At 46.2% G+C, this 12,439-nt stretch overlaps 1 protein-coding gene across 3 annotated transcripts in view, besides 9 other annotated features; it reads left to right on the top strand.

Moving 5' to 3' along the window:
• Positions 6,168–6,467: an enhancer, noted in NCBI's record as "active region_20583". NCBI's record gives its function as "activates an Ori minimal core promoter by ATAC-STARR-seq in GM12878 lymphoblastoid cells {active_cell/tissue: GM12878}" and the evidence as "EXISTENCE:reporter gene assay evidence [ECO:0000049][PMID:35858748]".
• Positions 6,168–7,758: a biological region, named in NCBI's record as "hESC enhancers GRCh37_chr3:135914134-135914880 and GRCh37_chr3:135914881-135915627".
• Positions 6,265–7,011: an enhancer, noted in NCBI's record as "H3K27ac-H3K4me1 hESC enhancer chr3:135914881-135915627 (GRCh37/hg19 assembly coordinates)". NCBI's record gives its function as "activates a minimal SCP1, AML or CMV promoter by ChIP-STARR-seq in naive and primed H9 embryonic stem cells {active_cell/tissue: H9 hESC(naive and primed)}" and the evidence as "EXISTENCE:reporter gene assay evidence [ECO:0000049][PMID:30033119]".
• Positions 6,638–6,687: an enhancer, noted in NCBI's record as "active region_20582". NCBI's record gives its function as "activates an Ori minimal core promoter by ATAC-STARR-seq in GM12878 lymphoblastoid cells {active_cell/tissue: GM12878}" and the evidence as "EXISTENCE:reporter gene assay evidence [ECO:0000049][PMID:35858748]".
• The window catches only part of MSL2 (MSL complex subunit 2), a 47,419-nt gene continuing 41,694 nt past the window's right edge, over positions 6,715–12,439 (top strand). Inside the window, exon 1 of one of the 3 annotated variants that reach the window (NM_018133.4) lies at positions 6,715–8,078. In NM_018133.4, the coding sequence (NP_060603.2) occupies positions 7,937–8,078 (142 nt within the window). In that variant the 5' untranslated portion in view covers positions 6,715–7,936. Of the gene's footprint in view, positions 8,079–8,581; positions 8,656–12,439 lie in introns of those variants that run through there. The other 2 variants (XM_011512949.3, NM_001145417.2) reach the window with 2 other exon arrangements.
• Positions 6,908–7,297: a silencer, noted in NCBI's record as "silent region_14757". NCBI's record gives its function as "represses an Ori minimal core promoter by ATAC-STARR-seq in GM12878 lymphoblastoid cells {active_cell/tissue: GM12878}" and the evidence as "EXISTENCE:reporter gene assay evidence [ECO:0000049][PMID:35858748]".
• Positions 7,012–7,758: an enhancer, noted in NCBI's record as "H3K27ac hESC enhancer chr3:135914134-135914880 (GRCh37/hg19 assembly coordinates)". NCBI's record gives its function as "activates a minimal SCP1, AML or CMV promoter by ChIP-STARR-seq in naive H9 embryonic stem cells {active_cell/tissue: H9 hESC(naive)}" and the evidence as "EXISTENCE:reporter gene assay evidence [ECO:0000049][PMID:30033119]".
• Positions 7,638–7,707: an enhancer, noted in NCBI's record as "active region_20581". NCBI's record gives its function as "activates an Ori minimal core promoter by ATAC-STARR-seq in GM12878 lymphoblastoid cells {active_cell/tissue: GM12878}" and the evidence as "EXISTENCE:reporter gene assay evidence [ECO:0000049][PMID:35858748]".
• Positions 7,758–7,807: an enhancer, noted in NCBI's record as "active region_20580". NCBI's record gives its function as "activates an Ori minimal core promoter by ATAC-STARR-seq in GM12878 lymphoblastoid cells {active_cell/tissue: GM12878}" and the evidence as "EXISTENCE:reporter gene assay evidence [ECO:0000049][PMID:35858748]".
• Positions 7,858–7,927: an enhancer, noted in NCBI's record as "active region_20579". NCBI's record gives its function as "activates an Ori minimal core promoter by ATAC-STARR-seq in GM12878 lymphoblastoid cells {active_cell/tissue: GM12878}" and the evidence as "EXISTENCE:reporter gene assay evidence [ECO:0000049][PMID:35858748]".

Below are 12,439 nucleotides of genomic sequence, written 5' to 3'. Positions count from 1 at the left end.
TTCGTGGTGGTGTGTGCCTGTAGTCCCAGCTACTTGGGAGGCTGAGCTACCTGAGCCCAGGAGGTAGAGGCTGCAGTGAGCCCAGATCTTGCCACTGCACTCCCGCTTGGGTGACAGAGCAAGACCCTGTCTCCAGAAAAAAAAAAAAAGGAAGACATTATCTTAAATTGATAGTTTAAGAAATATGTGGCTCATGCCTGTCATCCCAGCAGCACTTTGGGAGGCTGAGGCTGGGGGCGGATAGCTTCAGCTTAGACAACATGGCTAGACTCCCATCTCTCCAAAAAAAAAAAAAAAAAAAAAAATTACAGGCAACCTACAGAGTGAGAGAATATTTTTACAATCTTTCCATCTGACAAAGCTCTAATATCCAGAGTCTACAAGGAACTCAAACAAATCTACAAAAAAAAAAAACAACCCCATTAAAAAGTGCTCAAAGGATATGAACAGACACTTCTCAAAAGAAGACATTCATGCAGCCAACAAGCATATGAAGAAAAGCTCAACATCGCTGATTAGAGAAATGCAAATCAAAACCATAATGAGATACTATCTCACACCAGTCAGAACACCATTATTAAAAAGTAAAGAAACAATAGATGCTGGCGAGGTTGCGGAGAAATAGGAGTGCTTTTACACTGTTGGTGGGAATGTAAATTAGTTAAACCATCGTGGAAGACAGCGTGGCAATTCCTCAAAGATCTAGAACCAGAAATACCATTTGACCCAGCAATCTCATTACTGGGTATATACCCATAGGAATATAAATCATTCTATTACAAAGATATATGCATGTGTATGTTCATTGCAGCTCTATTCACAATAGCAAGGACATGGAATCAACCCAAATGCCCATCAAATACCCACAGACTGGACAAAGAAAATGTGGTACATATACACCATGAAATACTAGGCAGCCATAAAAAGGAATGAGGTCATGTCCTTTGCAGGGACATGGATGAAGCTGGAAGCCATTATCCTCAGCAAACTAACGGAGGTACAGAAAACCAAACACTGCATGTTCTCACTTATAAGTGGGAGCTGAACAATGAGAACACATGGACACAGGGAGGGGAACAACACACACTGGATGGAGCCTGTCGGGGATGGGGGGGTGGGGAAAGGGAGAGTATTAGGAAAAAATAGCTAATGTATGCTGGGCTTAAGACCTAGGTGATGGGTTGATAGGTGCAGCAAACCACCATGGCACACGTTTACCTACGTAACAAACCTGCAGATCCTGCACATGTACCCCAGAACTAAACATAAAAGAATAAAAATAAAAAGAAATTTGAGTTATAGGCCAGGCACTGTGGCTCATGCCTGTAATCCCAGCACTGTGGGGGGCTGAGGCTGGAGTCAGATCCCTTTAGCTTAGGCCACATGGTTAGACTCCCGTCTCTACAAAAAATACAAAAAAAAAAAAAAAATTAGCCGGGCATGGTGGTATGTGCCTGTAGTTCCGGCTACTCAGGAGGCTGAAGTGGGAGGATTGCTTGAGCCCAGGAGGCTGAGGACACAGTAAGCACTGCACTCCAGCCTAGGTGAGACTATCTCAAAAAAAAAAAAAAGGAATTTGAGTTATATATGATTTTTCCTAAATAATTAAAGCACTTTTAATGTTTTTTTTTTAAAAAGAATCAAACTGCATTTATTTCAGAGGTTTTTTATTTAGGAAAAATATACATATATAATTTACCACCTTTACCATTGTTTTCAACTTTTTATTTATTTATTTTTTGAGAGGGAGTCTGGCTGTGTAGCCTAGGCTGGAGTAGCTGGGATCACAGGAATGTGTCATCACACCTGGCTAATTTTTTTTTTCTTTTTTTTGAGACGGAGTCTCACTCTGTCGCCCAGGCTGGAGTGCAGTGGGGCAATCTCTGCTTACTGCAAGCTCTGCCTCCTGGGTTCACGCCATTCTCCTGCCTCAGTCTCCCGAGTAGCTGGGACTACAGGCACCCGCCACCGTGCTGGGCTAATTTTTTGTATTTTTAGTAGAGATGGGGTTTCACCGTGGTCTTGATCTCCTGACCTTGTGATCCACCTGCCTCGTCCCCCCAAAGTGCTGGGATTACAGGCGTGAGCCACTGCGCCTGGCCACACCTGGCTAATTTTTGTATTTTTAGTAGAGACGGAGTTTCACTATGTTGGCCAGGTTGGAGTGCAGTGTTGCAATCTCGGCTCACTGCAACCTCTGCCTCTTGGGTTCAAGTGATTCTCCTGCCTCAGCCTCCCCAGTAGCTGGGACTGCAGGCATGCGCCATCATGCCTTGCTAATTTTTTGTATTACTATTAGAGATGGGGTTTCGCCATGTTGGCCAGGCTGGTTTTGAACTCCTGACCTCGAATGATTCCCCCGCCTCTGCCTCCCAAAGTGCTGGGATTCCCCTGCCTCTGCCTCCCAAATTTCTGGGATTACAGGTGTGAGCCACCGTGCCCAACCCTGGTAGGTTTGGACTTTCACCCTCCTGTCATCCTTCCCCAGAAAGTAGGCTCTAGTGTCTACTGTTCCCATCTTTATGTCCATGTGTACTCAATGTTTAGCTCCCACTTATAAATGAGAACATGCAGCATTTGGTTTTCTGTTCCTGTGTTAATTCAGATAATGGCCTCCAGTTGCATCCATGTTGCTGCAAAGGACATTTTTTTTTTTTGAGACAGAGTTTCCCTCTTGTTGCCCAGGCTGGAGTGCAATGGTGTGATCTTGGCTCACTGCAACCTCCACCTCTCATGTTCAAGCAATTGTCCTCCCTCAGCCTCCCGAGTAGCTGGGATTACAGGCATGCACCACTGCGTCCAGCTAATTTTGTATTTTTATTTATTTTTATTATTTATTTATTTATTTATTATTATTATTATTATTTTTGAGATGGAGTTTAGCTCTTGTTGCCCAGGCTGGAGTGCAATGGCATGATCTCGGCTCACCGCAACCTCTGCCTCCCAAGTTCAAGCGATTCTCCTGCCTCAGCCTCCCGAGTAGCTGGGATTACAGGCATGCACCACCATGCCCGGCTAATTTTGTATTTTTAGTAGAGACGGGGTTTCTCCATGTTGGTCAGGCTGGTCAAACTCCCGATCTCAGGTAATCCGCCCACCTCGGCCTCCCAAAGTGCTGGGATTATAAGTGTGAGACACGGCGCCCGGCCAATTTTGTATTTTTAGTAGAGACGGGGTTTCTCCATGTTGGTCAGGCTGGTCTCGAACTCCCAACCTCAGGTGATCCGCCCACCTCAGCCTCCCAAAGTGCTGGGATTACAGGTGTGAGCCACAGTGCCCGGCCAGGACATAATTTTTTTATGGCTGTATAGTATTCCATGGTGTATATGTACCACATTTTCTTTATTCAGCCCATTGTCAGTGGGCATTTAGTTTGATTCCATTTCTTTGCTATGTAAATAGTGCTGTGATGAGCAAATGAGTGCATGTCTTTTTGGTAGAACGATTTATATTCCTTTGGGTATATACCCAGTAATGAGATTGCTGGGTCAAATGGTAGTTCTAAGTTCTTTGAGAATTCTCCAAACTGCTTTCCACAGTGGCTGAACTAATTTACAGTGCTACCAGCAGTGTATAAACATTCCCTTGTCTCTGGAACATCCCCAACATCTGTTATTTTTTGACTTAATAACTGCCATTCTGACTGTGTGGTGAGATGGTATATCACTGTGGTTTGGATTTGGATTTCTCTGATGATTAGTGATGTTGAGCATTTTTTTCTTTTTTCTTTTCTTTCTTTTTTTTTTTTGAGACAGATTCTTGCTCTGTCACCAGGCTGGAGTGCAGCGGTGCGATCTCGGCTCACTGAAACCTCCGCCTCTGGGGTTCAAGCGATTCTCCTGCTTCAGCCTCCCGAGTAGCTGAAGGCACGTGCTACCACGCCTGGCTATTTTTTTTTTTTTTTGTATTTTTTAGTAGAGAAAGGGTTTCACCTTGTTAGCCAGGATGGTCTGGATCTCCTGACCTTGTGATCTGCCCACCTCAGCCTCCCAAAGTGATGGGATTACAGGCGTGAGCCATCACGCCCGGCCAAGCATTTTTTTCATACATTCATTGGCTGCTTGTATGTCTCTTTTTTTTTTTTTTTTTTTTTTTTGGCACTTGCTCTGTCGCCCATGCTAGAGTGCAGTGGCTCGATCTCGGCTCGCTGCAACCTTTGCCTCCCAGGTTCAAGCAATTCTCTTGCCTCAGCCTCTGGAGTAGCTGGGATTACAGGCACCTGCCACCACTTCTGGCTAATTTTTTTGTATTTTTAGTAGACATGCGGTTTCACCATGTTGATCAGGTTGGTCTCGCCCTCTTGACCTCAGGTGATCTGCCTGCCTAGGCCTCCCAAAGTGTTGGGATTACAGGCATAAGCCACCGCACCTGGCCTATGTCTTCTTTTGAGAAGTGTCTGTTCATGTCCATTGCCCATTTTTTAATGGGGTTGTTTTTTGCTTGTTGATTTTTTTAAGTTCCTTATAGATTCTGAATGTTGGACCTTTGTTGGATGCATAATTTGCAGACATTTTCTCCTATTCTGTAGGTTGTCTGTTTACCCTGTTGATAGTTTCTTTGCTGAAGCACTTCATTTTCTGTAAACAATTCATTTGTTTCCCTTTTAGGCAAGGCTCAAGCAAGCCAATAAATATTAGAAGAGAATATACCTCAAGATTCTTTGCCTCTAAGTACAATACTCTTATTACCAGTTGCAACCAATTTCAGAAGCTAAAAAAGAACTGGCTTAACACACGTTTTCTCTCTCACGTCCATGCACACGAATGATCAACAGAATTAATCTTAATTTGGGGTGTACACATCTGAAGACATTTGTAAAAATCCAGTTATGAGAAAATTAGCAAGGTTAATGCCCTGCAAGTAATCACTTGCTTAGGGTGACTGCTAATTTATTGTCTTAACGGAAAACAGTGCTGATTATTTTACTCTGTGTTGCTCCTTTTGGGGAGAACCACCTCTGTGTTGTGGGAGAAGACCTTAGAGTCTGGAGTAAAAATAGAACCGTGTAACAATTTTATTTGAAGGAGAGCTTAGAAAAGATCTCTTATGCAAAAAAAAAAAAAAAAAGAGAGCTTTTAAAAATGAGAGTGGCTTTTAGAATATTTGTCATTTTCCACGTATAAGACAACCAAATACAGTTTGCACAGCTAATCAAAATTAGGAAGTTATATTCTTACTGCTTAATATTTAAGTGTTGATAATATGGTAGGTCTTGTGAAAAAAAAACCTGTCTTCAAATGGTAATAGAAATTATAAATCGAGATTATATGTGTTCCCTTGATATCTTAACTATTCCTACTCACCTCAAGTGGCAGCTTGTAACTAACACGTACCACATTTACATGTTCCATATACGTGCCTGTGTACATATGTAACATGTGCCACAATAGATTTACACGCATCATAATTTTCACTTTGCAAACGTATAGAGTACCTACTGTGCATGAAAAATTATGCTGAGGAGCTTTGGTGTGTACAGAGATAAGAAATGCTTCCTATGGCCTGTTACTATTTGTGCTACTCAAAAAAAGGTTTTGTACTTTGAGATGGGAGGGAAGTCATCTACTAAGTCAGGCTTTTGTTTATTTATATCCCAGTGCCCTTGATCTCCTGCAAAAACAAAAGGCAAAAGCTTGTTTTAAAAAACAAAACATTTGCAAGGATTTGGGTTTGTTCTAGAGCAAGATCACGCATTCTTCAAGACATCTGTTCACACAGAAGAGCTAGGTCTTTTAAAAAAGCTAGGTCTTTCAAAAAAAAAAAAAAGGAGTTCGTTTTGTTTTTAAAACAGGACTCTGTTCCGGTGAGAGCTCGGTGAAGTCCTGATCGGCACCCATGAAGGTGAGGCCGCACGAGTCCAAGGGCCAGAGGCCGTGGGAACAGCGCGGGTCCGACGGGTAGGAGGGGGCAGTGGGTTCGAGCCTCCACGCTTACATACAGCCTGCCAGGGCCTTAGAGCCCTCTGACTGCGAACCACCGCAGAGAGGTGCGGAACGCGGCCCCGACCCGGCAAAAGCCGTCCGCACGCCTGCTGGGCGCGCAGCCACGTTGACTACTGCAGCCTTCCCGGCTCGGCGAGAGCCTGCCAGCCAGCCGAGGCTGCGCCCTTTCCGCGGTCGGGATGAGCGGTTCCAGGAGAAAGGCCGCGAGGGCGGGGCTTGGGGCCTGGCGCGGCTATTTCCTCACACCGCGGTCAGTCAGGACGAGAGGCCGCGTTCAGGCCAGTGCAGAGCGCCACATGGCGCTACCAAGTCGGGCCCCGGCGTTGGCGGGCACAGAAGCAGTGTAATGCGGGAAGCCTGCAGCCCACACTGGGGAAGGATGTGCCAGCTAACGAATGTTTCACCACAGCCCACATGCCTGGGAGAGGGAATTTGAGAGCACGTGGGGGAGGGGCGAAGAGAGCTGTCGGCTCGCAGAGAGCATGCTCCATTCTGAGAGTCGAAGTGGAGAGCCAGGCATGCGCAGTGAGCCCAGGGTGGGTTGGCAGCGGTGAGGGACTGGCGCGAGCAGGCTGATGTGTTTATCCGGTTTTCTGGGTGGGCGGTCAAAGCGCACGCGGAAGGGCGAAAGGCGGCGGAGCTAGGTAGCAGCTTGCGCATGCGTGGAGTGAGCCGGTAGCTCTGGGAGGCTGTGGAGGGGGTTGTTAGAGGAGAAGCAAGGGAAAAGGGAAGCGAAGGGAGAGGAAAGGGGGGAGGGGTGAGAGTGTGCTCTGCGCATGCGTGCGAGCGCTAGCGACGACGGCGGCGGGGGAGTCTCGGGGATGACAGTGGCTTTGCCCGTTGGGGTAACGGTCGTCGTCGCCGCCAGCAGAGGCCTGAGGCGCCACACAGCCCGCGGGATCCATTAAGGCCGCAGCAGCCCGGGCCCTACCGAGCTGGAGTGGCGCGTGGAGTCGGGGTGAGGGCGGCGAGGCACGGGGGAGGGGCCTGCGGCGGGGCCTTGCTGTGTGCGCTGGGCGGCGGCGGGGCCTGGCGGTGTGAGCGCTTGCCTTCCGCGGCCGGGGAGTGCTGAGGGCGGCGGCGGCCGTCGTGCTCGGCGGAGGAGTCGTCTGTGTGTGTGGCGCCGAAAAAATGGCCGGGCAGTGAGGGGGCGGCGCTTGAGTCTGGTGACCCCGGAGTGTGCGACTGAGGCGCGAGGGGCGCCGCCGCGGCCCGGCCGGGCTTGCCCCCCGCCCCCTCCCGCCCGCCGGCGGCGGCCCGCGCACTTCCTCCCCGGCCTTCCCCTCCGGGTTGAGGACTCCCGCCCGCCTCGCCACCTCGGGGAACTGCGGGCTGCAACCCACGGGGCGGAGAGCCAGGGCGCAGTCTGGGCCCCGCGTCCGATATGGAGAGCGCGGCGGCGGCGTCCGCCAGCCGCAACATCAACCTTCGTCGCCGCCGCGGCGTCTTGCACTAGATCCGGGAAGCCGCTGCCCGACCGTCGTCCTTGCCGTCGCCGCCGCCTCCGCGCCCTGTACTGGGATGGAGTAAGAGGCCCTGCAGCCCGGGAGAAGCGTGCCGCGCCTCAGACGGGGCCGGGGCCTGCTCCCGCGCCTGCCAGCTCGACTTGAGGAGGCGCCTCCGTGTCCGGAGATGGAGCTCGAGTGCAGGCCGCCTGCCGAGCCGCGGGGCTAGACTGAGCTCCGAGTCCCGCCCCGAGCGCCCAAGCCGCCGCGTTCTGCGCTCTGTGGTCGCTCCGGACGAACTCGAACGCTGGTTTCTCTCTCATATTTTTGGTCTGGAAGTCTCAGGGACGGAGGGGCGCCAAGGCCCCATGTGTGGGAGGATTGTTTCAGCTCCACAAACTTGCACGGATTTTGGTTACTTGTTTGGCCAATGGTTCGGCTCTGATTTCTTCCGAATTGTTGCAAATTCGCCATCGTTCCCTGGCTGCTTACTAAGTTGGATCCGGAATTTCTTTTCAACCGGGAGCCATTGGTGTCGAAGTGTCTGCAATGAACCCCGTGAATGCTACTGCTCTCTACATTTCCGCGAGCCGCCTAGTGCTCAACTACGACCCCGGAGACCCCAAGGCGTTTACTGAGATTAACAGGCTCTTGCCTTACTTCCGACAGTCCCTTTCGTGCTGTGTTTGCGGTGAGACGCTTTTTATTGTTCCCTTTTCAATGCTTGTTTTTAAAAGCCTTCTGGGCAGTGGTAACGTGAGCGGGTTGACGGCCTGGTGGTTGGTATTAAGCTTTTGTTATTTGTGCAGCGCTGTACGGTCATTAGTTTTGAAACTTGCTGAGGGACTTTTGCCCGGCGTTTCAGAAAGGCAGAGAACCCTTTCATACCGCTTTGTGCAGCGGCGTTAACGTTCAAAATGGTTTAATTCGCCTCGGTTCATCTGGTGGTGGTGGTTTAAGTGGGGGTAAGATGCATGCACAAGGCTTTTTTTTTTTTTTTCTTAAACCTTTGCCGCGGGAGCTGATTACGTACCTACGGCGGTTAAAAGTGGTTAAACATGATCAAAACATGCACATGTGGGCACATGTGGCGTGTTTGCATTTCCCCAAACTGGTGTTACGTGGGAGTGGTGGGCTAAGCTGATGAACCCACAGCTGGAGAACCCGGCGCGGAACTTTGCCCCAGGTTCCTCCACAAATGCTTTGACGGTTTGACGGTTAACAGCGAGCCGGGGAAGGCTGTTGGTACTCGAAGTGCTTTTTAGCTGGTGAGACTTTTACTTACCACTTTTTCATTTTGTGGTTTAATATACTTTGGCTTTGTCGAGGGTTATTTTAGATGTTTTTGTTAAAAAAAATTAACTCGTGGTGGGTAGGATACTTTAATTTTTAAGATAGAAGAGATATGCTAAATTGTCTAAGGAAAATATCTCAAAAGTGATAATTTGAATGTTAACTGTGCGTGTGTAATAATTACTTGCTTTTCGAAAAACCTGGACTGAAACGTTAATACAAAAGAAAGGGCAACTGCCAAAGCAGTAATATGCATGCTCCACTTAATATTCTATCCTAAATTTTGAAGTTTTGATGATCCACTTGTTTAGTCAGAACCTGGGAAATTCAGGCACGTTAAGGTTTCCACTTTATTTAAAAGTAGATAAAGGAAGAAGAGTAATTTGGGACAGTTGTGGCTGAAGGGAGAAATAATATTCATTTGAGGTTTATCCAGCATTCTCTATCTAGATCCTGAAGCAAGACACTGAATGGGTGCAGAAGAGGTGGCGGTGGTGTTTTTTGCAAGACAGGTACTTAAGGTCATAAACATTTAAGTAACTGAGTAAGTCATTAAGTGCTACTCTGACTGGTGACAGACACTTAACACCTTAGAGGAATAGTCGCCCAGGGCAAATCACCTAACTGCCCTGGGCCTCAGTTTCTTGATGTGTAAAATGATAATTTTCGGCTAGATTCAGTTTCCTTTCAGCTTAAGTTTTACAAATGTAAGTGTATCAAGAGTTTGCCTGGTTTCATGGTAACCTCTCACTCTACTCCCACTTTTATGGAGTGCTTTTTTTTTTTAATGTCCTCACATATTTTGATGGTTTGAGGACTGAGGAAATGGAGCTGCCATAACTTCCTTCTCCATATACTTTTTTTTTTCTTTTCCTTTGGTGCCGGCCGTAGGGTGCTACTATGGTGAGGTAGGGGGAAGAGGAAGGGCCCACTCTGTCCTGCTGAAACAGCATTTGAGAGTGATGTCATTATCAGTTAACATTTGTAGAATCTGGTAGGTCCCCTGTTTACTAGATGGGTGAAACTTAGCTCTCTAATTTAAGTGGGAAATGGTAGTTTTGAGTTGTGCAGACCACCACTATCCTAAAACTGTTAAGAACCTCAGAGGTTTTAAGTTCCTATTAATAGCTTTCGGATGGTAGTGGTGGTCTAATTGAACATTTTCCCAAGTTCTAACCTGGACTTTAAATAATGGAATTAAAGATAAAAAAAACCCACTACATTTAAAAGTCCAACTGGAGCCTTTTTTATTTTTATTTTTTGTCAGTCTTGGCAACACAAGGGGAATTTTTCTGACAGGGCTTTCTTATTTCACATCATCCTATGGAAAAGATCGTGAGTTCTGCTTCTCCCTTATGATTGAGTAGCTGGCATGGTTTCAGTAATAGGGATGTAGGTTCAGGTTTTTTTCCTCCCATCTCTTTGGACGTAAGTCTATGATTATAAAGACATAGAAAAAAAATCAGTTATTTGAATTCAGCCCAGCATTGACATATTTTTGTACCAGGTATGTACTAGACTTTTTTCCTTAGCTGAAAAGCATTAGTGCATTCAAATTCGTGGATGGGCAGTCTTATTTCATGAAGATAATGCATTTGTAAAAATGAAGTTTAATTCTGTTGTAATGCTTAATTAGGGAATTTGTTTCAACACGTCCTGTAGATTTGACCCGCTACTACCTTTTCATCCTTTTATTCAACTGTGGTTTTACATAATTCTCTTTTAACTGGATTGATATTTTTGTCCTTTCAAACATGCTTTTTTATATCTTTTTCTTTTTTTTTTTATCTTTGCTTTCTTAATTTTCTTCTGCCTAAAACACTACTTTTTTCTAAAGGCCTAACTCAACTCCCTGCCTCCTTGGTGAAGTCTTCCTTGCTCACTGCAGCAAAAAGTTACTTCTGGCCAGGTGCCTGTAATCCCAGCACTTTGGGAGGCCAAGGTGGGCGGATCGCTTGAGGTCAGGAGTTGGAGACCAGCCTGGCCAACATAGTGAAACCCCATCTCTACTAAAAATACACAAATTAGCTGGGTGTGGTGGCAGGTGCCTGTAATCCCAGTTACTCAGGAGGCTGAGGCCGATCTCCAGACATTGCTTGAACCTGGGAGGCAGAGGTTGCAGTGAGCCGAGATCGCACCACTGCACTCCAGACTGGGCAACAGAGTGAAACTCCGGCTCAAAAAAATAAAAAAGTTATCTTTCTTGTCTAAACCTTCTGTAAACCTTTGTTCCAGTCATAAGATACTTATATCTCCTTTGAGTGCAGATTTTGTATCAGTCTGATTTTCTTGATACATATAATAAACTTTTTAGGGAAGACATTGTTTTTTCTTTTACAGTTTTGTATTTCTTCTGCTTCACATTCTTTCCTGCCTGGTGACTTACATGTAGGTGTTTATGACAGCCTCAGAGGAAGAGGTGAGGGAGGGAAAAAGCCCTTCAAACTTTGCAATTAGGTTGAAATTTGGCTTTTACTTACTGTGTAGGCACATTGCTTTAACTTTTTGCCAATTGCCTTTATCTTCTTCAAGTTTGTTTCTCTAAATTTGTGTTATGTGTGGGCTTATTTTTAAGCGGTTTGAAAAAACTTTTTATTGAAACAGGATCTTGCTATGTTGCTCAGGTTGGAGTGCAGTGGTGCGATCCTAGCTCACTGCAGCCTTAAACTCCTGGATTCATGCAGTCCTTCCACCTCAGCCTCCTAATTAGCTAGAACTACAGGCATGTACCATCATGCCCAGCTAAAGTTTTTGTAGGGAGAGGGTCTTACCGTGTTGCCCAGGCAGGTCTTGAACTCCTAGGCTCAAACTATCCTTGTGCCTTGGCCTCCCAAAGTGCAGGCATTACAGGTGTAAGCCACTGTGGCTCCTGGCCTGAAAAGACTTTTTTTTTTTTTTTTTTGAGACGGATTCTTGTTCTTTCACCCAGGCTGGAGTGCAGTGGCGCAATCTCGGCTCACTGCAACCTCTACCTCCTGGGTTCAAGTGATTCTCCTGCCTCAGCTTCCCGAGTAGCTTGGGATTACAGACTCACGCCACCACACCCAGCTAATTTTTGTATTTTTTGTAGAGACGGGGTTTCACCATGTTGGCCAGGCTGGTCTTGAACTCCTGACCTTGTGATCCGCCCGCCTTGGCCTTCCAAAGTGCTGGGATTACAGGTGTGAGCCACCGTGCTCAGCCTGAAAAAAGTTTTTGAACCCATGAGAACAAGTCTACAGATTCAGTGTCTGGCACATATTAGGTACTTAATATCCCACCTTTGCACAGTAGACAATGGTGGGTGGAGGTGAGGGAAGAGACTAAACTATCAGGTCAATTATTGTCAAACCTAGATTATTCATTGCAGTTACAGTTTTGTTATTACTGTTCTTTGATATGTTAATTAGCTGATTATCACTGCTTGTTTTTCAATTGCTTTGTATATTTAAACCTTCTGAAGCTTCTAGTGAATGGGATAGCCTTGCTGTAGAGAATTACTGTACTTTCTAGGCCACAGAAACTGACCAAGACAAAAATCACTATGGGTACTATTTTTAAGTGTCGATTTCTCGCTCATGTTCTAAATGTTGGACTTGCTTTATCAGAAAGTAGAATTGTTTTTTTCTTTTGATAAGATGAGACTTGATAAGTTTTGGCCTAAGGATTTTATGTTTTCATTAAACTTGTAACTCTTCAAATGATGTAACAAGTCTGATGTATACAATCAAAAATCCTGTTAGGATTGGAGGGTCATGTTAAATGGAAAAATACTATTCT

The sequence above is a fragment of the Homo sapiens genome, chromosome 3 (genome assembly GCF_000001405.40).
Source record: "Homo sapiens chromosome 3, GRCh38.p14 Primary Assembly".
Classification (NCBI taxonomy): Eukaryota; Metazoa; Chordata; class Mammalia; order Primates; family Hominidae; genus Homo; species Homo sapiens.
Note: the sequence above shows the minus strand (reverse complement) of the source record. Positions and strands in the feature narration are given on the sequence as shown.